The sequence below is a fragment of the Homo sapiens genome, chromosome 2 (assembly GCF_000001405.40).
Source record: "Homo sapiens chromosome 2, GRCh38.p14 Primary Assembly".
NCBI classification, from domain to species: domain Eukaryota; kingdom Metazoa; phylum Chordata; class Mammalia; order Primates; family Hominidae; genus Homo; species Homo sapiens.
The window spans coordinates 204668783-204696436 of record NC_000002.12 but is presented as its reverse complement, the minus strand read 5'-3'; the positions used below and the strand labels follow the sequence as shown (position 1 = coordinate 204696436).

The 27654-nt window shown below is 35.9% G+C and overlaps 1 protein-coding gene and 1 long non-coding RNA gene across 13 annotated transcripts in view; one reads left to right on the top strand and one right to left on the bottom strand.

Annotated features, from left to right (window-relative positions):
* The window catches only part of PARD3B (par-3 family cell polarity regulator beta), a 1074688-nt gene that overhangs the window by 923726 nt on the left and 123308 nt on the right, over positions 1-27654 (bottom strand). For all 12 annotated transcript variants that reach the window (XM_047443208.1, NM_001302769.2, NM_205863.4 and 9 more), the window contains one exon: positions 10155-10256. In XM_047443208.1, coding sequence (XP_047299164.1) covers positions 10155-10256 — 102 coding nt within the window. The remainder of the gene's footprint in view (positions 1-10154; positions 10257-27654) is intronic.
* Positions 17739-27574, top strand: LOC124907968 (uncharacterized). Its single transcript, XR_007088057.1, has 2 exons — positions 17739-19052; positions 27341-27574. It is a non-coding gene; the product is annotated as an uncharacterized LOC124907968 (long non-coding RNA).

Genomic DNA, 27654 nt, shown 5'->3' with positions numbered 1-27654 from the left:
TAGTAAATTAAGAGTCTGGTATATGGTTACTCCCATTAAATTGCTCAATAGCAAATATCTCTTGGTGAAACTATCAAGTAACTAAATAGTTGCTTGTTTAAGGTTCAGTGGTTATTTGCCCATACTGAGCAGTGTCCTGTTGACCTGTTTTTTGTTTCCGTTTTTTTCTTCCGTTAAATCATGAGACCTCAGGTCATGATTTAACGGAAGGTCAGCTGTTTTTCTCACAACTTTCCATTTTATTTCTTGAGATTTTTCCTAACCTAAGATAGAGATACCTCCCCCGATACTCCCTATTGTTTCAAAGCACCCACCTCCCATTTTATAGAACCCGCTGTTACTCATTAAGAAATAGGCAGCAAACATGATACCTGATAACCTATGCAGACGTTATCAAGGTTCTGGAATCTTGGGAAGATTCTGAACAACTATCCTTGTACTTTAGTTTTCACCTTCCTTGATGGTCTGTACCTGGAAGTTCTGATATCCCTTCTTACCACCCACATTCACTTATTAAAGAAAAATGCAATTTTTGTTTCAGAAAACTACTTCTCCCTATACTCTCAGCACTAACTCTTTCCTGAACACCTCACTAGATGGCAAGAAGAGAAGAGTGGCCTTTTGACATAACCATCCTCCTCCCTTCCAAACCTCTCTGACATTCCTCTGTTCCTGGCTCAGTGTTCTCATACCACCACAAGCCCTTTCTGGGCTATGCAGAAATGTTTGCTTAAATACCTCAGGGCTGCTGCTACACGAGGAAAGAATAAAAGTGATATATTTGTGTGATACATCACAGTTCAAAATGTTACCACACACTCTTTCATTTCATTTGATCCTCCTCCTAAAAGCTGACTTTATAAACATGAGAACTGAGGTTGAGACAGCTTAAAATAAGAAAAACCTACATTCAAACTGTCAATGCCCTGTGCTCTGCCACATGACACTCTACAATACTGCTTTAGTGAAGCTGATTTCAGCTAGGTATTAGTGGAGCACGATCTGAATCAATACACACAGGTACTGGTGACTGACACTAGTACTCACAGGCATTTGCATTTTTAAAAGAAGATGTTTTATAGCTTAAGTAGTCTTCCATTTGGTATAATTTTAGGTATTACAATGAGATTGTAATTCGTAAGTTACATAAGTAAAAAAACAGATGTATATTAAAAAAAAATAATGGTCCCATACCCCTAGGCCAAAGATATGCCTATACAAATAGCTTCAAAAGAAGCTAATGTGAGAGAGAAAATTGGTAGAACTGGGTCCAGTAATGTAACATATGGTGAAAGGCATACTGTAAAGATGAAAGTGTTCATTGACTCTTATTTTGAATTACATTTTTAGCTCTAAGTAAAGCATTATTGTGATCTCAAATTTTATTGGGTTTTTCCCTCCAACCAAACTTAAAATTTTACACACATATCAAACATTTTCTTATGGTTTACTCTTCACTGTACTCAAATGCTTAGCTAAATTAATAATACCATAGAGCTTGATCATGTCATTCCAACCTCTGATGAAACCTGTGTGTCACAATTGTACACAACAAGCAAACAAATTCAGGGCAAGTGTACACACTCCTCCACATACATACATCTGTGCACAGATTCTCTCATCATACGTACATACACACATACACCCATACACACTATAGTTGTCAACCAACTAAATTGCGGAAGGCACATATCTGACATGGCCATCATCAAGATTACTGTAGTTTAAGTTACTATCTCTTGACACTATTTGCCTTAGCTATAGTAAGGTCACAAAGGCATTGATTCCAAAATTCTTCTCTGAGGTTGAAACATGCCCACAAACTGTCTCCTAATAAAATATTTCAAAGAGACAACGTAGTTTGGTGGAAGAAAAAGGTAGTCAATTAGAAATCTTCAATTCTAGTTCCCACTCTATCACTAACTAAAATTAAACATGTTTATGAAACACTGAACTACAGGTAAGAAGTCTATGGGCTAAAAAATATTTTAAACAATCATCCCAGTCCTAAAACAGCACACAAGACACCTGGACAGACAAACCAAGACTTAAAAAGTTAAACAATAAAATTCTTAAGAACTTCGAGATGGTAAGTGGTAAATGTTACTAGCCAATAACATTTGAAAAAGAAAAAAAGACCACTTAATCGTTTCTATAAAATTTCAGAGCACAGAGGATTTACTTTAGATTGAGATGATTTACAAATGTTGACTGGGATAAAATACAATTTCACCTTGATCTTGAAAAATTCATAAGAACTGAACAGCAGGAATAGATACATTTTTTACACGTATATAGTGCTTTGTAATTTCCATTGTATTTTCCTGCACACTTTTTCAACCTTCCCAATAATACGATGTGAACGATATCATTTATCACTCTCATTTTACCAATGGAAAAACTGGAGTTACAAGTGGTTGAATGGCTTATTCAAAACCTCAAAGCATACGTTCATTCATTGACTGTAATTATTTGAACAGCTAGGAAATGCCAGGCACTGCTGCAGGCACTGGGAATACAGCAGTGAATAAAGCAAAGACCCCCTCCTCATGGAGCTAATATTGAATAATACAAAATACAACATAAACTGAATCTTCGATGGGCAGGAAATAGGGACAAGGATATAGCAGACAACCGGAACATTAAGAAAAAAAGCTTTGGAGCTAGAAAGTCCATGATACATAATAAATCGTACAGTAGTTTCGCCACCACTGCGGTTGAAGTGGGTTTAGAGAAAGTTTGGAGGCATTGTGAGGCCTCTAAATGGCTACAAAGTTTGGACTTGATGCAGTATACACTAAAAGGAACAATATGATTTAAGCAATACTTTTTAAATAATGTAATTTACATTATTAATAGTGTGTTAATTACAATAACAATTGATGACTTACTACAGGCCAGGTGCTCTCCTGAACACTTCGTGTTAACTTACATAATTAGTACTATTTTTAGTTCCACTTATCCATGATGAAACTAAGGCACAAAGAGGTTTAGCAACTTGGACAAAACTAGACAAATAACAGGGCCAAGAAATGAACTGACTTTTTTGTCCAGAATCCAAGATCTTAACCATTCTGCCTACATACGAGGCACAAAAACAGCTGACAGGTAAGGAAGAGACTAAAAACAAGACGACCAATTTCTTGTCAATTACAGTAACCTTGGCCTGAAATATTATGGATATAAATTTGGTAGCTGTGGAAATTCAAAGACAAAAACAAACATATGGGAAAGGATAAAGGAAAGAATAAATTGGCTTTATTAAATAACTAAATTTTTAAAATAACTGCAAGTTCAAGTCTGGGAGACTAGGAGAAGGTGCTCCTAACCAACAAAAACAAGGATGTCAATGGAAGAAGCCAACTTGAAACTAACCAACAAAAACAAGGATGTCAATGGAGGAAGCCAACTTCAAACTGAGTAGTTTTGATCTGCATGAGATGTTATCAGCATCCTAGGGAGGAAATGCAGAAATGGACTCAGGAACTAAATCAGCTACAGACATCGTGTTCTATAACCTCTTCCTGGGTAGGATATTTCCTCTTTTGAAAGATGATGAGTTTAATCCACATGACTGTTGAGGTCTTGTTTGGATCCATGATTCTACAATTTTGTAATTCTATAAGCGGAGAGTAATCTTGAAAATTCTGAGCTAAAATTTCATGACCAAGGTAATTCATTTGTTCTTCAGGAGCTTCTGCATTTATTTCTGAAACCTTCTCCAAACTTCTTCTATGTGCTTTTGTGCTTTTATAACATCAACTCCCATGAACCAAAGTAAGACTTTTTGAAGGAAAAACAAAAACACATCATATCCTGATTTGTTTTTCTTTTAATTGTGGCTTTAAAATAGGTACTTTAGCTTGCGATGGAAATCTTACTGATAAAATGAGGGCTAAGAAATGAAATAAATCAGGACCTTTAAAAAAAAAAAAGCTGTTTAACTTAATTTAGCATTCTCCTTCTCCAGAAAACACAATATACTTCATAGATTGTCCAACTACAGACTGAATAAGTTACACACTTCATCACCACCAGCCATTAATCTTTCAGCCAGCAAACAGGTAGGCGGGAAGAAGTCTAAATTTAAAAATAAATTTAAAAGAGGAGTTTTTATAAATGCAAGGAATTTCCTTTAGCCCTTACTAGAAGATGCACAAAAGCACAGGGAAATATATGCAAACTCTGGCTTTATTCTCCATGCCTGAGTCTGTGAGTTGTAACAAAAAACATAGCAAAAATTATTTTCAAATAAAGTAGAACAAAATACTTCATCCTGTTCAGGAAGTAGCTCCTGTGAGCTGGTTTCTAGGTAACTGTGGACCCACTAGAGGGCAACAGAGTGTTCAGAAAGCAATTTGGCTTAAGAATAAAGAGCCTGGCTTTAGGTCACTAGTTCATGCAGCATTGCGCAAACCAGTCTCCATTTTAAAATCATGTTACATCTCCAAATGCTCCTTATGTTACCAAATAATATGTTCTGATAAAAGGATTCTCATTTCCAGTTTAATCATACTGGCATTTTCATTTCGCAAATAATAACAATATATTAATCCAAATGTTCTGTCATATTCAATATCTTCTTATAAAACTATTTTACCAATTTAATAACTTCATTCATATCAGTTTTGTTTAAAAAGCAGTTAAAATATACAGTAAAATAGTTTATTTGATGTTTAAATACCTAAAAACATCTAATGGTAACATCAAAACACCTACATTAAAAATACTGTAATAGCACTACCATAGTATCATTAATATAACAGCATTTGAGTTCTCAGTATATGCTATACTATACTTAAAATTTTATATAGTTTACCTACCTAGTTTTCCTACACCAACCCTGTAAGAACATTATATTCATTTTACAAATGGGGAAACCAAGACCAGAGAGATGAAGAAGCTTGCCCAAGGACTGATAACTAATAGGAGATAAAACTGAACTGAAATTATAACATTTGAATACCAGATATCACATGTGATCCAGTGGGCAATTCACTTGGAAGCCCTGAAAACCACTGGCATCTCTCCAAACTAGCCCCCTAGGATAGGCAAAATTTAGTCAAGAACAGAGGCATCTTTCCATGTTACTTTACTACATAATACAGTATTACTTTTGTACAGTTAATGAAACCATGGCAGTAATTGACTTTATATAATAGATGTGATAGACTGCCATGTTTTCATGTTATATTGCAGTTGTCTTCTTCAACCCAGCCAAAAATTAATAATGGCAATTACCAAAGAAAATAATCATTTTAAAAAGCTTAATACTCAGAAGCTCTCATGCTCACTTAAAAGGAAGGAAGCATTAAGCTTTGCAGTGGTTTACTAAGCATCAGTCTTCAGACTTCTTAGGGCCTTTACATACTGCAGCGAGAAACTGATAAGTGAACAAGGCTGTTTGTCTGTGACTTTGAAATAATTTCTACACTATAGACGATAACAGCATAATTAGATATTTAAAGATCAAGTCTCAAAGAGTGAAGGCTCACCCAATAAACTGAGGATCATTTGTGATGGACTTTGGGAGGAAGGCAAAGAACAAGGAACCCATCTGAAGTACAAAGCATTTATCTCATCCTGCAGGATCTCAATGCCCAGTCAATATGAAATTTGAGAAGACTAACATCACTTTAAAAGTTAAAATGGGAAAAGAGGCAGTGTATGTATTAGTGTCCTATTGCTGCTGTAGCAAGTCACCACAAATGCAATGGCTTAAAACATCACAAATTTATTATCTGACAGTTAAGAAATCTGAAACAAGTCTCACTGGGCTAAAATCAAGGTATCAGCAGGACTGTGTTCTCTCTGGAGGCTTTAGGGGAGAATCCATTCCCTTACTGATTCCAATGTCAGAGGCCAGCTACATTCTTCGCTGGTGGCACCTTCTCCATCTTCACAGCTGGCATTGGCTGGGTGTGTCTTTCTCACATTTATCTCTCTAATACTCTCCTGCCTTCTTCTTTCATTTATAAGGATGCTTGTGACTACATTGGGTCCATCCAAATAATCCAGAATAATCTCTCCATTTTAAGATCCTTAAGCACATCTGCAAAGACGCTGTGTCATGTAACATTCATATTCACAGGTTGTAGAGATTAGGGAGTAGACATTTTTGAGGCGCCATTACTCTGCCTACTGAAAACAGCACAGTCTATAGTTGGTGCAAAAAAGTAGTTACTGTAATACAAACTTGTTTTTCTTTGTAATTGCATATGGTGGTTAGACTTCAAGTGCAGTCTAAAGCGTCCAACTGAAATTAAACTGTATCTAAATCAAATAATCTGGGTCCTAGAGAAAAGAGGATGCAAAAGAAAGCAACAGAGGTAGAGCTGACAAGCCTTTACAATAAACTAGATGCAGGCTATAGGCAAACAGGGTTGAAATATATTAAATATGTATGGCATATTAATTCTGAATTAATTTATAAATAAATTGTATACTCAACTGTTTTGTTATACTCAACAGTTTGGTCTATTACCAACCTTTTCTTAGCAATGGTGGTGACTACGTAAAAGCAAAATTCATGTTAATTTATGACTGATGAATTTTCGTAATAGAAATTATAGATACAAGCGCCAAACTGCTTGACACATCAGAGAAGAAAAGAAATAAGATTACAGAAATTTAAATTCTAGGTTCCAGAGTCTGATTGTGCCATTTACTACCTGTGTGATCTTGGGCAAGTTACTTACAATTTCTGTGATTATTCTGGAAATTAAAAATAGGGATAACACTAGCTCTTGTCTTCAGGATTGCTTTAAAATAACGTAGAATAAATAAGGGCCAAAGACATTCTGGGCCATTGCTAGTCATCAATGATTAGGTTGTTACTATTGGGTGAACTAAGTTGGTAGCCTTTAGCAACCAGAGAGGAGACATGAGTGTAAAATTACAATTCTTAGATATTTATCCCAAAGAACTCGAATCATCAGACTGATAGACAAACTGAAGAATCTTGAGAATAACTGTCACAACCAGATAATTATTAAGTTTCAGCACAACATTTTATACAAATAGTTATCATAAGATGCAATATTCCAAAGCTGTTCCAATAATATTTTGACACATATAGGCTAGAAGTAGTGTAACACAGTGGAGACTTGGTCCCCGTGGAAGCTGTACTAGGAAAGCAAGTTTAAAAAACCAAAGCTCCCAAGCAGATACCATGTATGCGCCAAGCACTATGTTGGCCAAAGGAATAATAGAAGTAAGACCACAGACAAACCACTTTAGGCACAAGTTTTAAAAGTCATTTCTTAAGAACACTGGCTGAACTTTGTTAGAGCCTTCTCTAATTTGAAGTACAATATCATTTAACCTCTAGTTTCTACCTTTACTGAAGTGTATGGGATGGTGTTACCATACACTAAATGGCCCAGCCTCCCCTGCTTTCTAAGTTTCTGTTTTTCCTGCCTGATATGCTGCAATAGACCAACAGTTCCTTAATGCCACTTCTCACCTGGAGTGAGAGTCTTTCCTAGGAGGTGAGATATTTTGGGGTTAGCACAATGATTATGTGCATCTATCCGTGCCTCTTTGGACTTGTTCTCTATCCACATTTTAAATGCCAAAGATTATTAGGTAGCCAATTTGCAAACAGGTGAACTGTTATTTTGTCTAAGCTCAATACCGCCTCAAAGGATCCTGAGTGAGACTGATATGTCATTAAGCATCCACAAAGCATCACTTATAGTTACTTCTTAATCTAAACTGCCAAAAAGTAAGGTAAAATGAAATTTGGCAGGGCCTTCTTTCCACAATAGACATATGGACTATAAAGAAATCTTAAGATTACCAAGGTTGTCAGAAAAATAAGAAATTCTTTTTTTCACCTTTTTTTTTTTTTTTTTTTAGATGGAGTCTTGCTCTGTCACCCAGGCTGGCCTGCACTGGTGTGATCTTGGCTCACTGCAACCTCTGCCTCCTGGGTTGAATTGATTCTCGTGCCTCAGCCTCCTGAGTAGCTGGGATTACAGGTGCATGCCACCACTCCTGTGTAATTTTTTTGTATTTTTAGTAGAGATGGGGTTTCACTGTGTTAGCCAGGATGATCCTGATCTCCTGACCTCGTGATCCACCCACCTTAGCCTCCCAAAGTGCTAGGATTACAGGCATGAGCCACCGTGCCACTTACGTATTTTTTAAGAAGAAGAAATGGCAACACAATTTTTTCTAGCAACATCAAAAGTATAAATTGTCATAAACTCTGCAGAACAATACCAATTAGGCATCATGTAGAAATATTGAAGTACATTAACAGAATTGTTAAAGCCGAACCCAAGCAGTACTAATCCTCAGCTAGGATTTTAACTGATTATCTCACTTTTTTACCTTATTTAGTAATGGTGGTAGAGTCCCATTAAAACAGAGATTACATATAATAAAGCTGTTTCTGTGTGTAGTAAGTGGATTATGGTTATAAACTGCATTGCTGAGATAGTTTAAAAGAATGCTCTAAATGTGAGAGCTCTATGGGACAAATTATCTCCCTGGGCACTGTTCATGGACTTATCCTTCTAGTAATGAGGTATTGGATGAAGCTGGGGTAAGACATTTTCTTCTCGTCCTTCCTAAACTTGCCATTTTTTGGCCCTTCATTTTAATGTTCTGGACATCAGTGAAATTTAAGACAGGAACTGCCTTCTACATTAATAAACAATTAAAATATCTGGATTATTTCAAAGGAAGAAGATGATCCCTAGGGAAGAAGCAGAAAGTGAAACAGGGTGAAAGAACTAAAAACCCTTCTTCAGGGTTCTGAAGGTTAATAATACATTAGTTACCCTTTTATTTACCCTGAGACCAACTAAATAAACAGGAAGTATATATCAAAATTACATACAGCAAGAGTCAAGTGTAGAAAGTAAAGCTGTCTTTTTCACTCATTAATTCAGTAAGTATTTTTGGGAATCAAGTTTGTGTAAGATATTATACCAGATACTACTAACAAAAACACACAAATAAAAATCTCCCAAGTCCATGTCCACTAGGAGCTTACAATCTATTTAGGGAGATAACTAGGTTTATCTAGATAGCTAGTTATTTCCCTAGATAGACTATAAAACTTAGTTAGTTATCTCCCTAAATAGACTATAAAATCGCTAATAACAACATAAAGCAAAACAGGTTTTAATTACAAAATAAAATATGAAAAGTAAATGTATAAGATGTCTGCAAAGATTAATGTAAGTTTGAACAGTCTGAAGAGATCTTATGGAAAAAGAAAAATATAAACTTCACCTGAGTTTAATAAATCACTTATTTATATTCCAGTCCAGTTAGGTAAAACACAAAAATGTACACATACACACCCCTGAGATTACAGGGAAAAAATATAGAGAAACATGTTTCCAAATATAAATTAGCCTTGTACAAACAGCACTAAAGATGTATAATAGAAGAAACTTTGAAAGCTAGATCTCTCTGACAGAGTTCGGTTTTGGAAAACACATTAGCCATTGATGACAGGAGCCAAACCTGTAGTATTAAACCTGTCTCAACAGCAATAATCGTGTGTATTGCAATGAAATAGTATACTTTCACACCTTCCTCTGTATAGTCTCAGAAGAAAAATCTCATTAAAACAAGATATTTGCAACGAGATTATTCCCAAATAAGTGGCAGAACACGCTCAAACTTTTTGGAGTATTCAATTTAGTGCCTTTTACTGTAGCAGTGAAAATAAGACTATCACTCAAGATAGTTGTTTGCCAGCTACTTTCAGAAAAATCTTCACTGTAATTCTTCATAAAACTTGCTGCCCCATTGTATTCTCTACTTTGAAACACATTCACGCCTCAGGCATTTAGTTGAATAGTTAGCAAGGGCCAGGAATAAACTACAGAGCCAGCAACGACAATGATGATTCCAACAGCCTCACATATGAAACTAATTTATTAAGACATATCAGAAACTCTTGGGAATGAAGTGTCTGCTAATTAGGCCAACACAAACAGATTCCCAAACCTTAACACAGTTTTTCCAAACATCTGATGAAGAACTTTGATTTATGGGCTGTCCAGGTGAAACCTGAACAGATGGTATCTTTTAATAATAATTGACACATGAGTTTGTTAAGGATTTCAGTCTCTTGAAAACATGCAGCTCTGTAGAGGAAAACAAAGAGGCACATTTTTAGAGTTATCTACCTTGTCTTTATCTTCAACAACATCTGCCAAGACATCATCTGGATCCAGGATTCCTCCATCTGTATATTCTAAGTGATGAATCTTCACCCAGTAACCAGGACCCTATAGTAGAACAAACACAAGTTTAATGACCTAATCTATGTTAAAAAGTTAAACACATTTTAATGTTAAGAGACATAAGTTAACTTGTTAAAAATATGTTCTAGTAATCAAATTTTTAAACACTGAAAACAAATGTTATCTATTTATTTGGAAAAAAATACTTGGCATTTTTATCCTGTTTAACTTAAATCGGAGAATCAAGGTATACATATTTCATCAATTTTCCTGGAAGGTAAATTGCAATGCAAAAATAAACTGTTTGAAAAACATACTCAGGGAATTTTTATAACCTACAACTCAGGTAATTCCAAGAATACTCTGGAAAAGAAAGATCTTCTTGAGGGTACTTTCTGAAACTAGGAATAAAAGTCCAAACAGATTCCAAAGCTGTAGGGAAAAAACCCTAAAGGCAGAATCTGTGATGGTAATAGCTATCACTACAAAATATATAAATGGAATGGGTAGCCACCAACATCTTCACCTGTTTAAATCTCCATGTTCAGCATGCAGCCTCACTCTGAGATATGCAATGATGCACAGAGCAGGAGCTCCAGCCTCGCTTGCCATTTCCTGCAGCATGGCAGCAACTCAAACTGTGTTCAGAGTTGAATGGGGAATTCACTGAGTTGGGGTAGTAATTAAAGAGATGTTCAACTATCGCTTTTTAAAAAACTGCTTACTTTTAAAAACCGCTTACTCTGATTCTAGAATTTAGAATTAAATAATCTAGCTCATTCAGTTACTTACGTACTGCCTATTTCCAGGATAGCTATGAAAGTGAACCATTATAGCGATGGGACAAGAACATGAACCAATGAATGAAGTGAAGAAAAACATGAGTAAGGTTTTACCATAATCCCCAAGCTATAATCAATTTGGTTCTGTGAGTCTTAGAAAGCCCCTCAAAGTGGGAAACTTTTGAGCTATAATACACTTGGTATCCAATAAACGAACAGATACCAGTTTGTTAAAAAAGAAAGATGGAAATTCTTCTAGGATACAGCTCTAAGCCTTTCCCATACAAATCTTTATTAGGGATAAGAACTAATATAACCCACGGAATTCAATTTCAATTTCATAAAAGCTAATAGAAATGGTTGTCATACAGTCTTCTTTTTAGCTGACCCCCAATAAACAGTAAGGGCATACTATTAAACAATACTTTTTTAAGGCATCTATTTGGAGAGCTACTAAAATGTGACCCAAGTACATAGCTTTCCAGTAATACAACTTGGTAAAGTGATAGGCTTTAAAAATCTAAAGGAATTCTCCTTAGTTAGGCTTTAGACATTTCAAAATTAAGTTCTCCATACAGTATTGAATTTCAAGTAAAATAAAAGGAGTTTTGTTTACTTCTAATACTGAGTTTATAGGTGCAAACACCAATGATTTACTAGGAAACTTTAAATGCCTGACTCTGTGGCACAGATAGAGATCTCAAAGATATAAGCAGTGGGAGTATAATCAGGTAAGAAAGACACACAACTCTCATTATTCAGTTTCTTTAACCAGAGGTCTTTGCCAACCCGAAGTAATTGTGCTGTAAAAGATGAGCTAAGTATAATAGGCCAGATTTCAAAAAGGGAGGATCCTAGCATAGAGAAAACTATGTAATGGCCACTGGACAATACAGCTCTCCCCCAGCAATATTTGGGAATTAAATCTTTTTTGTTATGGCCATGCCGCAAGCAACATATTTCTTCAAATCTACCCAGGACTTCTGACGGAAATATTAAGTATTATTTATTCCTTGTAAAAAGTCTGCTTATAAAAAGAGTTCAATTTAATTAATTTCTATAAACTTCCATTGAGTTTTTTGATATATTACCTAGCTCTGTAGATGAAATCTGTTGATTTTAACCATGTTTATAAAAAGTAATGTATTCTAAAGAGTTTTCTTTATAGTATATTTGTACTTAAAAGCAGGCATCTATCAGTTATCTGCTTTTTTCTCAAGTTCAGTTTGTAAAAGCAGATTTTATCACCTACGATGGAGGTAAATAATCATCCTTCACAACTGCAGTAAGTTAAAGTACACCTTCCTGCCTAGAGGTGGAAACACAGAGAGAAGAAAACCAAAGAGTCCTAATTTAAAATAAAGTAACTCAAAAAATAGCCAAAGATAGGATTTGATCAGTGGCAAAGGGAATATCAAACAAATGGCAGCAAGATGGGGTTGCCGCATCACATCCATTCCTCCCTCACGCACACTGGGATCCAAGACATTGTGGAAAATAAGACACGGAGTTGAAACTAAGACACTGTTCTCTAATTTGATTCAAAAGAGCTCAGAACTAAATGAAGTAAAAAAGTATCTTGATACATTTTGGAAACATGTATTTGACCCAAAAATTTTAAGTGAAAAACATGGTGTCAGAATATGGAAAGACTACAATTTGAACTCCCTATTCCACATTGATATTGCCATTTTATACATTCCAAAGAAGAAAAGAGTAGGCTAATGATGGGCATATATCTACACCTAACCCTGAACAAAAACAGACAAGCCATAGGAAATCAGTCTCAGGGTTAATATTTTACACATCTGAGAGGGGGCAAAATGTCAATAAACCACAGTACATACCAACTGTGATTTTTGTCCCCATGGTATTTTGGCCATGGTGCTATTGATCACTCAAAAATGTACATACAAAATATGCAACCTACAGCCATCGTAAGACCATAAATTTATCCTGACTCTTTAATGCATGTAAAAATTTCAACCATTACATTGCAGTCAACATTTTGCATTTCATTTACATGGTTTTATTGCCATCAGGAATAAAACTGATCAGATATGAAAAGGTGTTCACATATGTGTTCTGGTTCATACTGTCACTGGGAAAAAATTACTATATTTTTATGATTATGACACTTAACTTGCCTTTATATTGCACAAGTAACTGTGGTACACATAGCTTTTAAATTATTTTGAAAATATCTCTAATATATGTGTTCATTTTGCTATGCAATGTCTTATTACTTATACTCCTAGGATCATTATTGAAAAATAATGTTATAATTATGTTTTCTCCACTTTTGACATTATTGTATCTGTTTTTAAAATAAAAGAGTTAATTTAAATGCTACTAAAATTTTAAAACTAAAACTAGCCTATGAGAATGAATTGCAAAAGGAAAGCAAAACAAAAACACAGGCATTACAGGAAGAAGAGTTATTTTTAATGATCAAATGTAAAAATGGTTCCAAATAGGCTTTAATACTAATAGCACCAAAAGACCTTCACTATGGGTAGATGACATGAAATTTTACCTTATGCATTAGAAAATTTACATTAACCATGTTTGAAGTACAATAATTTTCCACTTGTAATACCTAAAGGAGTAGACTGGCAACCCACATACTATAATGCTGTGACTACCATGAACTGGGATTATGCCAATAAACACAAGAAAGGGAAAACTTGGAGGGGCCCAAGCAAGATGCCTGTAGTCCAAGAAGAAAAAACAGCCTGCAATGGCAGCGAGGTCCCAAAGTGGGGAGAGTGCTGCAAAGGAAAAGCCGATTTTTGGAGAGGGGCTACATGAATTACAGTTCTCAGCCATGCAACTGGTTTCCTGGTGGCTTAATGTTTTTACTAGAAGAATCTTACCTACTGGAACACAACAGCAATGGTCAAATGGAAGGTAAAAACAAAACGGAATTTTCTTTATAGAATTTAACTTCATGAATTTGGTGGCACATATCCACAAAATGAGATTTTACCTATAGGTCAGGTACTATAGGTACTATGTGTTTTGTATGATTAACTCATTTATCCTCAAAATGCCTCATAAAACAGTTAATCCATCTTACAGATGAGAAAACCAAGGTAGGTGAATTAACTTTCCGAAGTTCAGACACTGAATAAGCAGCAAAGCCAAGGTGGGATTTTTTTTTAAACACAGAAAATATTTTGTTATTAAATAACTTAATACAAAGCACAATTACCAAGGAATCAGGCAGGGAATCAGGTCCATTTCTATCCCTACATAAGCATACGTACCCAGGCAAGTTGCCATTATTCTGGGCCTCGGGTGCATCATCATTAGTGAGCCTGGAGACTGGATGGCCTTTTGTATGATGCACCTCATAGAGGTCAAAATGCAGAGACATGGGGGGTGACAATGGAAGGCCCCAAATTCTTTGCTTAAGTGGGTCTGTCCCATGCTTCACAAATGAGAATTAAGTGGGGAAACCTTCAAAATATAATCTTCATAATCATAGACTTAAGGGTTTTGGAAACAGTGGAAAAAGATCTTACTGCCAAGAATAGAGAGGGAGTTTGAAGCACCAGAAATTAGATAGAGAATTACAAAAATGTACTTGCACATAACACTTAATTACTTTTATAATAATCTCCTGGGGGCATTCTCCCCTCTACCCAAGACCAAATGAGAATCAGATGCCCCACAATGCACCCAGGAAGGAGAAGGTGACAGAGCATGTCTGCAGACTGTTTGGGGCAGACAGAGAACAGGAGCCTCTGAGTAGCCAGCCACAGAGCAGTGCAGGGAAAAACAAGAGTTTTGGAAAATGACACCCAAACAAAGCCTAGCAGAGCAGCACTGACACGTGAAAGGAAAGAATCAAGCCAGAAAAGGCAGTGATGAATATACAGTTTATTATGAACCAGCCCTAACTGGCTTCAGAACACGCCTTCACCTTCCTAAAATAGATCAACCAAGTGTAAACTTCAGGAGAAAAGCCTAGTAGAAGAACATGGGCTGAGGCTGTTTGAATTAACTACAGTATGTTTCCAAAGAATTCAGCAGAACTAGAATGGGACCCGGAGTTTTTATGCTGGGTTGAAAGTAACACCTAGCAAGTCCAATAGAATTATAAACCTTTAATTACATATAAAATGAGGGAGAATTAGTCCATACATATATTTACTTCCAGATCTAAAAATCTATGATTCTATCAAAAGAAAGTTGGTATGGCCATACTAATCCTAATATCAGATAAAGGAGACTTCAAGGAAAGAAGTATTAATAAAGATAAAGTGGGATATTCAATCATGATAAAAGGCTCAATCTAACAGAAAGATAACAATGTTAAATGTGTACGTACCCAATAATATAACTTTAATACATATACTGTCAAAATGAACAGATCTTTAAAAAATATTTTAAAAACATGAATTGGGAGACTTGATAGGAAACAAAAAATTGAAGAAGATATAAATCATCTGACTGACACAAGTAACAAATGTAGCCTAACTTATTTGTATTATATTTGCACACACACACACAAATAGTGTAACCGAAAAGATTAGAACATACTTTATAAGTGTACATGGAACGTGTACCAAATTTCAAAGGTCTGAAATCATTTAAAATATGTTCTCTTATCACAGTAGAATCAACCACAGAAAAATATCTCAAAAATGCCCAGCTGTTTGGAAATTAGGAAATACAGTACTGAAAAATCCATAGATGAAAAATAAAGGCAATGAGAAAATACTTCTAGTAATTAAAATAGCAAAAATGTGTGGAATGCAGGTAAATCAGTGCCAAATGTGTCAGTTATGGTCTTTAATGCACATATTAACAAGTAAAAAAAATTGATCAAAAAGCTAGAAAAAAAACAGCTAATGAAATCCAAAGACACAGTGAAGAAAATAAAGAGCAAAGAACAATGAAATAAAAAAACAACAAATAAAAATCAAAGTTGGTTTTATGAAAAGCTTGACAAAACTAGTAAATTCATAGCAGAACCAATCAAGAAAAATAAAATAAATTTCCAATATCAGGAAGGAACAAAGGCAAGCAAAACCATTATAGATCCTACAGATACTGAAGAGAATATTCTAAAAACCTTGGACCTATAAATTTAACAATTTTTATAAAATGAACGAATTCTTCGAAAAATACAACAAAATGGACAGTAAAAATACAAAATATGATTAATACAAAAACAACAAGAATTAAATTGAATTTATTGTTTCAAAACCTTCCAAATGTTTCTTCAAAAGGAAAATTCCAAGCTCAGATGACATCACAGGTAAAATCTTCCTAATATTTAAGGAACAAATAATGCCAATCTTTTATATAAATACTTCTAGAGACTAGAAAAAGAGAAAAATTCTCTCAGCTTTTTTTAAAAAAGATAGCATAAATTTGATACCAATATCCTTACAAGGATATTACAAGAAAATAATATCCCAGTCTCTCTCTTTCTCATGGATATGTAGGTAAAAATCTACATATGTAGGTAAAAATCTTAAACATTTGTAAATCAAATTCAGTGATGTCTATAAGGAATAATACATGATAACCAAGTGGAAATTATTACAGTCATGCAAGAGTTATTTAAAAGTCAAAAATCAACCTAAGTTATTCATAAATTAATATAGAAAAAATGATAAAGATCAAATGATCACCACAATGGATGCAGAAAAAGCATTTGAGAATAGGCACCACCAAATCACAGTATAGAAGTATCTTAGTAAATAAGGCAAACCAATAACTAAACAAAGAAAACCAGTTAAAGATTAAAAAAAATTAAAAAAAAATTGTAACATTTACAATAGCATAAAATCAAATACTTATGAATGAGTCTAATGAAAATATGCAAAACATTTATGATTTAAAATTATAAAATATTAGGAAAAATTAAAGAAGACTATCATAGATTGAAAAGCTCACTATTGTGAAGATATTGATCTTGTCCAAATTGACTGGGGTTAGGGTAAGGATTGTGAGAATACAAAGCAACTAGAATTCTAGTACACTAAGGGTAAAAGTGTAAATGTATACAATCACTTTGGAAAACTGGCAGTAACTGAACATAAACATGCCATAAAGCTGAATGAACATCACACATAACTCAGCAATTCCACTTCTGGGTATACATCTAACAGAAATCTGGGTATATATCAAATCCTGCTATGAATATATACCTAACCAAACGACACACAGAATATTCATAGCAGGATTATTTTTAATACCTAAAAATCTGGAAATAGCTCAAATATTCGTAACCAGTAGAATGTATAAACTACAGTATGTCCATGCAATGGAATACTATACAGCAAGAATGAACAAAACTACAAGTTTATGCGACAACATGAGTAAATCTCGCAACATGAAATTGCATAAAAAGAGCCAAATACAAAACAAGCACCTTTTGTATGATTACATGCATAACAAGTTCAAAAAGAGGCATAATTAATTCACAATGTAGAAGTCACGAGACTGGTTACTCCTTGTGAGGGGGAAGGGTGGTGAGTAGAAAGAGGCATGAAGCGGCTTCTAGGGCAATGTTCTATTTCTTGATCTGTATGTTAGCGATACCGACAGGAGGCAGGGAAATACTGGATAGAAGAGGGCAGCTCCCTGGCAAAGAACCCACCCTCGAGCCTGGAATCTGCAGCCCTAAATGAAAACAGTTATCCGTTTTCCAGCTCAAATGCTACTTTTTGGCCCACCCAGCCTCCGTATCTCGTGCTCCTATAAACCTCAGAGCTCAGCTGGCAGAGAGACAAGCGGCTGAACATCGAGAGGAGAAGCAACTGCGCATCAGAGACTAGAAGCAACTGCGCATCAGAGACTAAGGCTAGACGCGGCTTAATGTCAGACCACACGACTTCGGAGACGACCCGGCTGGAGTCAGCCAGGCTTCAAGGAAAGACTACTTTCTTCCCGCACCATCCCCGCTCTAGCTCCTTTTCCACTGACAGCCACCTCCATCAGTCAATAAAACCTCTGCATTCAACATCCTTCAAGTCCGTGTGACCTGATTCTTCCTGGATGCCAGACAAGAACCCGGGTACCAAGAGGGCAGGGTATATGTCACCCTGACTCTCCACTGAGCTGGTTAAGGCTTAGCTCTCTGTTGAAGGCAACAACCAAAAGGGCATTGTTTGTAATACACAACCTCTGGGGCTCCAGAAGTTGCGGGCAACCACTGATTGCTACCACGGGCCCGGTTACTGGGTTTGGTCCTGCCAGCACCTAAAGGCACTTGCCCCAGGTCCTGCACCTGCTCACCTGCGTGCTCCCCCTCCCACAAGCGGTTTGAGCTCGGCTGCAAAGGAGCCACCCCTCATCGCAAGTCCTGCGAGGGAGTCAGGGACTCTCCTGTCTCACCAGCTATACTTAACTTGTGTACTTTTCTGCACGTGTGATATACTTCCAAGGTATTTACATAAAAATGAAAATAATATCTTTGCTTCCAAAAATGTGACTTTTTCAAACTGAAATACCTAATTGTTCCTTTTGCACATGCCATCTCTACAGCTAAACAAATGAAGACCACCAAAAAGCTGTTCAGAGTAAGTCTAGTTTCCTCAGAAGAATAAGGACAAATCCTAAAACAAAAGGAGTGTAGAAGTCCCAGAAGATGGGAAGGCCAGGTTATCCTACCAATAGAACATGTAGCTAACTGACTACCAGTTATTCAACATTTCTAAGAAGCCCAGGAGATGCTTAGTTGACCACAGGCTTTAACAAGTCAACAGTGATGAGTCTGCTAAAAATATTATTATTACCATCTTAGGCTATGATAATACAAGGACTGTGTGAGAACAGAACAAGGAATCGTTTCACTCTGTGCCAAAGTGGTCCCACTACATTTAGAGTATTTTGTCAGATTTGAAGAGACCATCATTAACTAACTGGAGATGACCCATGTGACAGTAACCACAAAGGTTAAGGAGATGGAAATACATCTTATGATGAGTGAGCTGAATTAATTGAGGCTTGTCTAAATTGGAGAACAAAAAGGAAAACACTTTGCTATTTCAAAGACAGAACTACAGTTTACAGGGCACTGAGCTCTTAAAGTTATCAGGTAAGGTAAAAATTACTTATTAAAATTAGTCCTAAAAATCCCTTAGGGAGACACCACAATGGAAGTGAACATACGTCCTCTGAATAAGGCCAATGCTACCTGTTTTTAATCTAGACTTGGAGTATTCATTGTCTTTTCAGTTGAGCACCAGAGGAAGTATCTGGATTACACTGGAGACTATATTTTATGTAAAAGTTTTACCTTAAACACTTAGACCTCCGTAAATAAGTACATGAGAACTGAGACAACAGAGGTAACAGCAGAGAGTTAAATGACCATAGGAGATCTCCAATCCAACTAAAAGCCTTCCACATAAAAGAGAGATTTGGCTTTTTCTGTGCTGTTCTAGAAATGATACATAGACGATAGAGAGGTAGAAACTCAGCGTAAGAAAGATCCTTCAAAAAGAACAATCTTGGCCGGGTGCGGTGGCTCACGCCTGTAATCCCAGCACTTTGGGAGGCCGAGGTGGGTGGATCACGACGTCAGGAGTTTGAGACCACCCTGACCAACATGGTGAAACCCTGTCTCTACTAAAAATATAAAAATTAGCTGGGCGTGGTGGCACGTGCCTGTAATCCCAGCTACTCAGGAGGCTGAGGCAGGAGAATTGCTTGAATCCAGGAGGTGGAGGTTGCAGTGAGCCGAGATTGCACCACTGCACTCCAGCCTGGGTGACAGAGCAAGACTCTGTCTCCAAAAAAAAAAAAAAAAAAAACAATCATAGAGTAGAATGGGATGTATGGTAAAAACATGAGCTCTCTACATCTTTCAAGAGTGAAGCAAAGGCTAGATAGCCGTATCTCAAGGATGCTACAGGATAAGACGTGGAACTTCTGTGATCCTGAAGATCCCTTCCAACTCTCAGACCTACAGCACCTAGAACCTCAAAGATCCTTAGGGCTTTGAGCTCTTGAAAGAGGAAATCTCTGCTGTAGGGTAGGAATAATAGATTCGGCAATTCTGCAGGATTCCCCTGTTACTGTGCATCCCCAAGCAGAAAGTCTATTCAACAAAACATCATATTTTGAATTCCCCAATCTACCCGTTATTCCAATGTCTTGCCATGTAGCCTGAAAATTCATTAATTTATGAACAAATTTAAGAAAAAGGTCTTTCATCTCCAAGGTAAAAGAAATACTCTTGGTAGGGGGGAAAAAAAAGCCTGAGAATTTTATATTGATTTGAACATTATTTTTGAATAGGCTGTTTTCTCACTCTAAAATAGTTCTCCTCCCACCTTCCCCTCATTACCACCCCCCGCCCCAAAAAAAATACTTGGAATTTTCAAGCCTTGACTAGTAAATTTATAAGTTCAAAGACTGGAAGGAATTCATTGGCTCAGAGACCACCGAGAATAGGCCTCTTATTTTAAAGACAGGGAACCAGTATAAACCATTATGTATAAACCAGTATGGCTTAACAAAGGTTAAGCCATAGAAAAGGTATTAATAGTTGTTTTCTTCTGATGTATAATTCTAAACAAAATAATTGCAATATAAAAGCACCAACAATTCCAGGGAATTTGTTTCTACAGTATCTCATAATCTAAGTTTTAATAATATTACTTATTCCCTTTTTCAAATAGAAAAATATTTAAGTATTGAGACATATATTTCACTTCCTAGTTCATATATCAGCTAAATATTTAAAGGAATGTTAATTAACCCATGTCACTTTCATTCAGCTTTGTGAAGTAACTATAATCTCAGCGGTTTTCTTTATATAAAGGGCTTTAGAGGTTCATTTTTCATTTTAGGATTAATCTAAATTTATTTGAGAAGAAAAGGTCCAGATCTAGATAGAGCTTTTTTTTAATAAAGAACAAATTTTAATTATTTCCAAATGTACTGTCTACATCATCTCAAGACACTGACTTTATAAGAATATAGAAATTTCATTTTCCTACAGCTCTAGGAGTGAGTTAAAGGCTCACTCTTAAATGCATGAAAGTATAGGCCTTATGTAACTCTTCAGGTTTATATACAGTATAATCACAAAACTGAAGTTATATCAGGAAAATTAAACGTTAAAAGTCTGAAATTAAAAAAAATTAAAGATATTTAATGCATAATTGATGCAAATATACTTAAGCAGATTAAATGGATTTAATCCATTTAAAAACAATTCTCAGTATGAAAGACGTAAAACACTGAACCATTACTAATTTAATAATATTGAAAAACAATGACTCAAAGTAATTTTAAAGAAAACAGCTGATTTTTTAAAAATCCTGTTTTCCATTATTTGTTTCCAATGAAATTTTATAGTCCAAAGCCCTGGATGCCAAGGTTTTAGAAACTTGTGTGGTCCAGAGGAATTCAAAGCCTACACCTAAAAAGTGGAAGGAGCCATCTCTCCAAAGAGAAGAGCAAGCTATTAATTTTTAGAATAATTCTTCCATTATAAAGCCCTAAAAAACATTCTGCTACAAAATGAATTTTAATAAGAATAAATTTGAGAATGCAAATTTGTACAACTCACAGTTTACTTAATATCTCCAATTCAAACTTTCTTGGTGCTATAACGTTGGCATCTTTGTATGCTAACTCCAAAGAATACTTTCGACAGATAGTGTCTACCAGTTGTGTGTATCTTTGTGTATATGAATGACTGAGTAAGGTTTAAAGCATTTTACAGGTAACAATAATGGCCCTTAGCTCTTCACTTGAACACAGTTTTATGGATCAATCAAAGAAGAGATTAAGACACAGAAAGGAGAATTTTAATTTATTGCAGAAGAGGTACTGGCGGCCGTGTTTATAAAATAAGTTAACTTTAATAAACTAACTCTAAGACAAACATAAAGACCTCATCCACTTTACTGCAACCACCTACCTCCCGCCAACACCCACCCCCCTCCCACACTGTTTATAAAACTTCTTTTCAGTGTGGCAGTAATAGGAATAGTAAGGGATTATTTGCCTCTGATCTTCAAAAAGGATTGGGGATAATACTACCTGCTACTGTTAGCTGCGTTTCTCTAACAACTTCATTCCTCCAGAATGCTGCAGAGGGATCACAGGTATAGCTAAAAAGAATACAGAGAATGCAGAGAAGAAAGCAGGAAGAGCTAACCTCAAGTATCCCCTACTCAGAGAGAAATTTCTCGACCTAACTAACGCTGATTCCCTGGAAGTATCATAAATTATCAATATCATGTTATCCTTATTTTATTCAATTATTTGTTAATTTTATGGCTTAGTCTGCCCCAACTAGAACATAAGCACCATGATTCAGAAACCTCATTTATCTTACTCACTTCCATATCCCCAGCACTACTTCTGACATTCATTATGCATTTGTCATACAAATGAAGACAATGAGAAACAGAAAGGAGTAAGAAAGTAGGGGGACGGGCTCAGGGTATAACAGAGAAAGCCATTTTATTGATACTGAGTAAAAGCTCAAATCTTGAGACTTAGATCTTTTGATATAGACAAGGGCAGCATGGGAGAAGCAGAAACACTGTAGACTGCAGGTCAATGGCAGTCCTTTCTGCAACATGTGTTGAGTTCTTGCAACATCTAAGAAAAAAGAGAATAAAAATCCAGCTCTTGGAAGGAATAAAGCTTAAATTTTAGTGAAGGGAGAAGACAATAATTAACAAACAAAATACATACGTGAATTAATGATATGTTAGTAAGTGATAAGCAATTTGAGAGATAAAATACAGTAGGATGAGGAGGATGGGGAGTACAGGCAGTTTGTATTTTTAAATAAGGGGTCAGGCCCGGCCTCCATGAAAAAGTGGCATTTGAGCACAGACTTGAGGCAAGTCAGTGGCAGACTGGAGGTGGGGAGCCAGGTCTTCTAACAAATGGCTGTGCCCCAGGGCAAGTCTCATTGCAGTCATTTGTAAAATAAGTCAAAGCTCAGAAAAGCAACCCTTATATGAGAGTGGGAAAACTAGTTCGCTTGTCAGGTTGAATAAACTTGGTGGAGATGCAAAAACACCAAGTGGTAGTAACCACCTCTCTACCCTTGCCAAGAGTATCTTGCACCACACTGAGTAAATTTTTTATTCCACTCTACAAAATGAAATAAAATTCTACTACTTTTTACATCAGCATTAAATATGTTTAAAGGTACCTTTTCTTTTAAAAGAAAATACTTCTAGAAAGGAAGAAGAAGGGACTTACATGTTATTTGCATCTCAGATGGTTTTTCCAAACTGCTGATGTACAGCACAGCAGGATTGGCTGGGCATGTGCCACATAAATAGGATAATTCAGCATACTCCCCAAAATGCTTCGTGGAAAAAGTATGAGCTTTAAAGTAAGACTAGGCTGAAATTCAAAATTTACCACTCATAAATGGGAACAATATCCTCTACCCTCACTGGATTGTGAGAAATTCATTACATATTCACATACATTCACATACACGGGCATACATATACATACATATATTTTCTTTCTTGACAACAGACTCTTACATTCCAAAGGCAGCGCCATTTCTGATGTGTATGCCACTGTAATCCCAGCATCTGACACTGCACTCTTCTTACAATAGATGTGCAATAAACAGCGCCTGTGATTATTACTACTCTGCATAATTCTTCAAAACTAGAAGCTAATGAGCAGTTAGGAGGGCAAAGAGACCCTCTGGGCTTGGGAAAGAATAAAATCAGCAGGAAGTGAGCAAAAGGCCCAGAAAGAGAAGCACCAGAATGGTAGGCAAGTTTTTCACACGTCAAAAATTTGGGAAGAAACGCTCTTCCCAATTTTTTTCCTATGCCTGGATCAAAATGTAGTCTGTAGGCTAATGCATTCCATGAAACTGTTTGTTTTTCATTTGCAACAAAAATACAAAAATTGGGAGTAAGCATTTTTTAAAATTTATAGCAATTTTTATTGCTATATTCATGCACATGATTTTGTATTTTATAAAAGTATCTGTTTGCCATAGATGAACAAACAAAACAATCTGGTCCTCTATCACAAACAGTTTGAGAATTTCTGGATACACTGGCCATCTGCCCTTCATGTCCAGTGCCTTAGCTAAGATTCATAATTAACTGACACATTCATTGACATTAATCAAAATGTTGACATATGAAAAGCCTGTGCAGACAATACAAATTTTCATTTAAATATTCTTTACATGGGAAAAGGCAAGCCAAACTCCAAAAACAATTAGCTAAAACTTTTCAGAAAATAGCCTGCTAATAAAAGCTAACAGCTTCCCTTGGGTGTAACACCTTATCTACTTCAGGAATGCGAATGAGAAGGTAGATGAAGACATGAAAAACAATGTAGTATTGCCTACAATGATGTATCATTATACCATTATTACACTACTAAGTTATAAATACAGTGGGAGGGAAGCCCCAAGCAGGAATGCCAATTGTGTAAGAAGTAAACAACAACACAATATTAAGCTAAAAATTCACCTTATAAAGAAAGATGCTAAAAATTATAGAAAAATAATCAAAATGTTGAGGAAAAGTTTTCCGACGATTATATTACACTATCAGTTGCATACATGCACATATATATTTGAATATATTCATTCATGCATACATATTAATATAACCCCAAAGCTGAGATGACTGTGGGTCTTTATTTTAGCTGGTGAAAGAAAATAAGTTTCATCTTTATTGTTTTGAAAACTGCAGATACAGAAATATTTTAATTTTAAAAATTATCAGCTAACACACATCCACAGTTACAGTCATTACGACAATCTCATTCCTTCTCTGAAAATCATCCCCAAACAAGGAAATTAAGAAACAAAACCATAAACTCTATCTTCATGGAAGTAGCAGATATCTGTAACTCAAATCACAACATGCAGACAGGAAAAGGAAAGACAAGGAAGTAATGACTTCTCAGAGGGGAAGAAGGTCAAATCCAAGTTCCTGCCAATGAAGAGAGCTAGCATGAAACACAAGCCTATCTACTTCGACAGGGTCTGGAGACCCCAGGTATCATGAAAAGTAGACGAAGGTGGGGGCTGAAAATGGTGAACAAAAGCTGCCTGACAAATTCTTTAAGGAAGGATAACACTCCTAGGTAGGTGCCCCCCACCATCTCACTCATCGAGAGGCAAGAGATATTATCTCTGGAGAAACTGAAAAAGAGCAAGATCCAGACTCTAAGACATCAGGCACAGAGAAGGGCTGAATGTAAAAGGCTACAGACTAAAGACTGGGGGTCACATGCCAACCTTGCTACTCTATCCAACGCCAGCAAAGTAAAAACCAGGCTTACACTCAACCCTCCTCCCAGTCACTCCTGACAGGTGATTAGACGAATGTGCTCCACCAAAATGAGGGACCCAGGGAACAGAGGACCCAACACACAAGAGATGGGAAGGGAATTCTCAGATAAACGGTGACAGCAATTAACATAACCATGCAAGGCTTAGAGAAAAACCAATCCTGATGTGATCAGGACAATGAAGAAGGGCTCCAGGAGCAATGTTCCTAGGAAAAAGTCCAAAATCAATAGATTTTTGATGGTTTTAACTCAGTGGAAGATTGCAGTAAGAGACATTTTACATAACTATTAAAAAGAACGGAAAAAAAGCATGAGATTCAATGAAAACTAAGCAAATAAAGTCATTAACTCCAGTAAAACCAAAAGTTTGCACGAGACAAAAGGCAACCATAGTTATGGGCTCAAAAGTAACAATAGCTGCATTCTCATAACAGTAAAAACACTGAATATGCATTTAACCAAATAGCCTAACAATAATTTTAGGAAACAAGGAGAAAAAAACGTATAGCTTGAGTTATAGCTATAAAATAGCTAGTATTTTCAACTACCTTAATCAGATGTAAACAGAAAATGTCTAAAATTGATGAACCAAGGAATAGCAGTAAATTCATATTTAGACATAAAAGCACACTGGTATCCCTTGATTCATACATTATTAGAATTATGGAGAAAAATAGAAAAAACCTGTGGGGTTTAGAGTGAAGGGTTTGGAGTGACTGCTTCTTAGAAGTGGTTTGGGCGGCAGGGGGCCATTGGACCACTGTTTTTGTCATGGGCCTTTTAGCACTATTTGACCCTATAAACGAATTGGCAAACTGTGACCCATGGGCCAAATCCTACCTATCACTGCTTTTGTAAATAAAGATAAAAGGGAACACAGCCAAACTCAGAGTTGAGCAGCTGCAACAGAGGTCATGTGGCTTGCAAAGGCTAAAATATTTACTTTCTAGATCTTTACAGATAACTTTGCCAACCCTTCTTTAAACCATGTGTAAGCATTACTTTGATTTTAAAAAATTAAATGGTACAGAAGAGTGGCCCAGTTCTGTATTCTCCAGAGGCAACTCTTTTAGATCTTTTAGTCTTTTTGAATTTTAACACCTTTTCTCTAAATAATAAGCATTTCTGACTGTCCCAACCGTTCAACTTCAGAATCATCTTTTGACTTTCTGAAATCATTCATGGGAACTTAGTGAATTTAGAGTCCCCCAACTTTTCCATCCTTTCCATTAATAGAGTTATTCAAATATTTTTATTCCCTTTAGTGGTTACCTTTATCTTTAATAAATGACTATGTTTATTCTGTCATCTAAAACAGCATCTCTTCATTCCTCGGAGTAAAAGAGGACTTGGCAGCCCTTACTCTTTTCCTCACCTTCCACCCCTTCCCTTCCCATTTCTGTCGGCTCTACCTTTACTTTTATGCTACTGAAGTTGCAAATATTTACATTCTTTTCTGTAATGATAACCATACTTTCTCTATAATTTGATTCCAAAAGTTGAAAACCAATAGACAGTATGGACATTTATTGCAACCAAGGAAATAGTGTTCCCTGATAAACCAAATAGGAAATGACTATTTGTCATTCCTAACAATGCCAATGTCGTAACTACTAAACCATTCAAACAAGAATGTTCGAACATATTCTCCTTTTTACAGCTCAAAAGCATGTTGGGTTACTGTTATGCAAGTTATAAGAGGTGACTTTATATAAAATATATAGTGAGTTATGCCAAAATGTACTTAGATAATAATTATATATTGATAAAAGTGGATATAATCACATTCAATAGCAAAACAAATTATCCAATTTTGTATAGGTAAAAAAAATTACTCCTTATGAAAGTAAACATGGTTGCCCTTGATCCTATAAAGTAAAAATAGGCTAACTCTTCTAGGAAAAATTATAAATGCCTGGTATCTAGAATGTAAGAAGCAACACATTCATATCACCAAACTGAAATAAAGAAGGGTTCTACTGGTTTCCTATTTCTCCGGTTACAAATTACCTACCAACTTAGTGGACTGCAATAACACTGATTTATTATCTTCTAATTCTGCAGGCCTGAAGTCAGGCGTGGATCTTACTAGGTGAACATCAAGATGTGAGTGGACCTGAATTCCTTTCTGGAGGCTCCAAGGGAGGATTCATTAACTTGCTTTTTCTACCTTCTGAAGAGGTTGCCCACATTCTTTAGCTCTTTGGTCCCTTCCAACTTCAAAACCATAAATGGCCAGTCAAGTCTGACCTTCTCTCCTGCTTCCCTCTTCCACAAATAAAGACCCCTGTGATTACACTGAGCCCACCAGGTTAATCTCTCTAGCTTAAAGTAAACTGACCAATCTTAATTTCATATGTTACCTTAATTCTCATTTG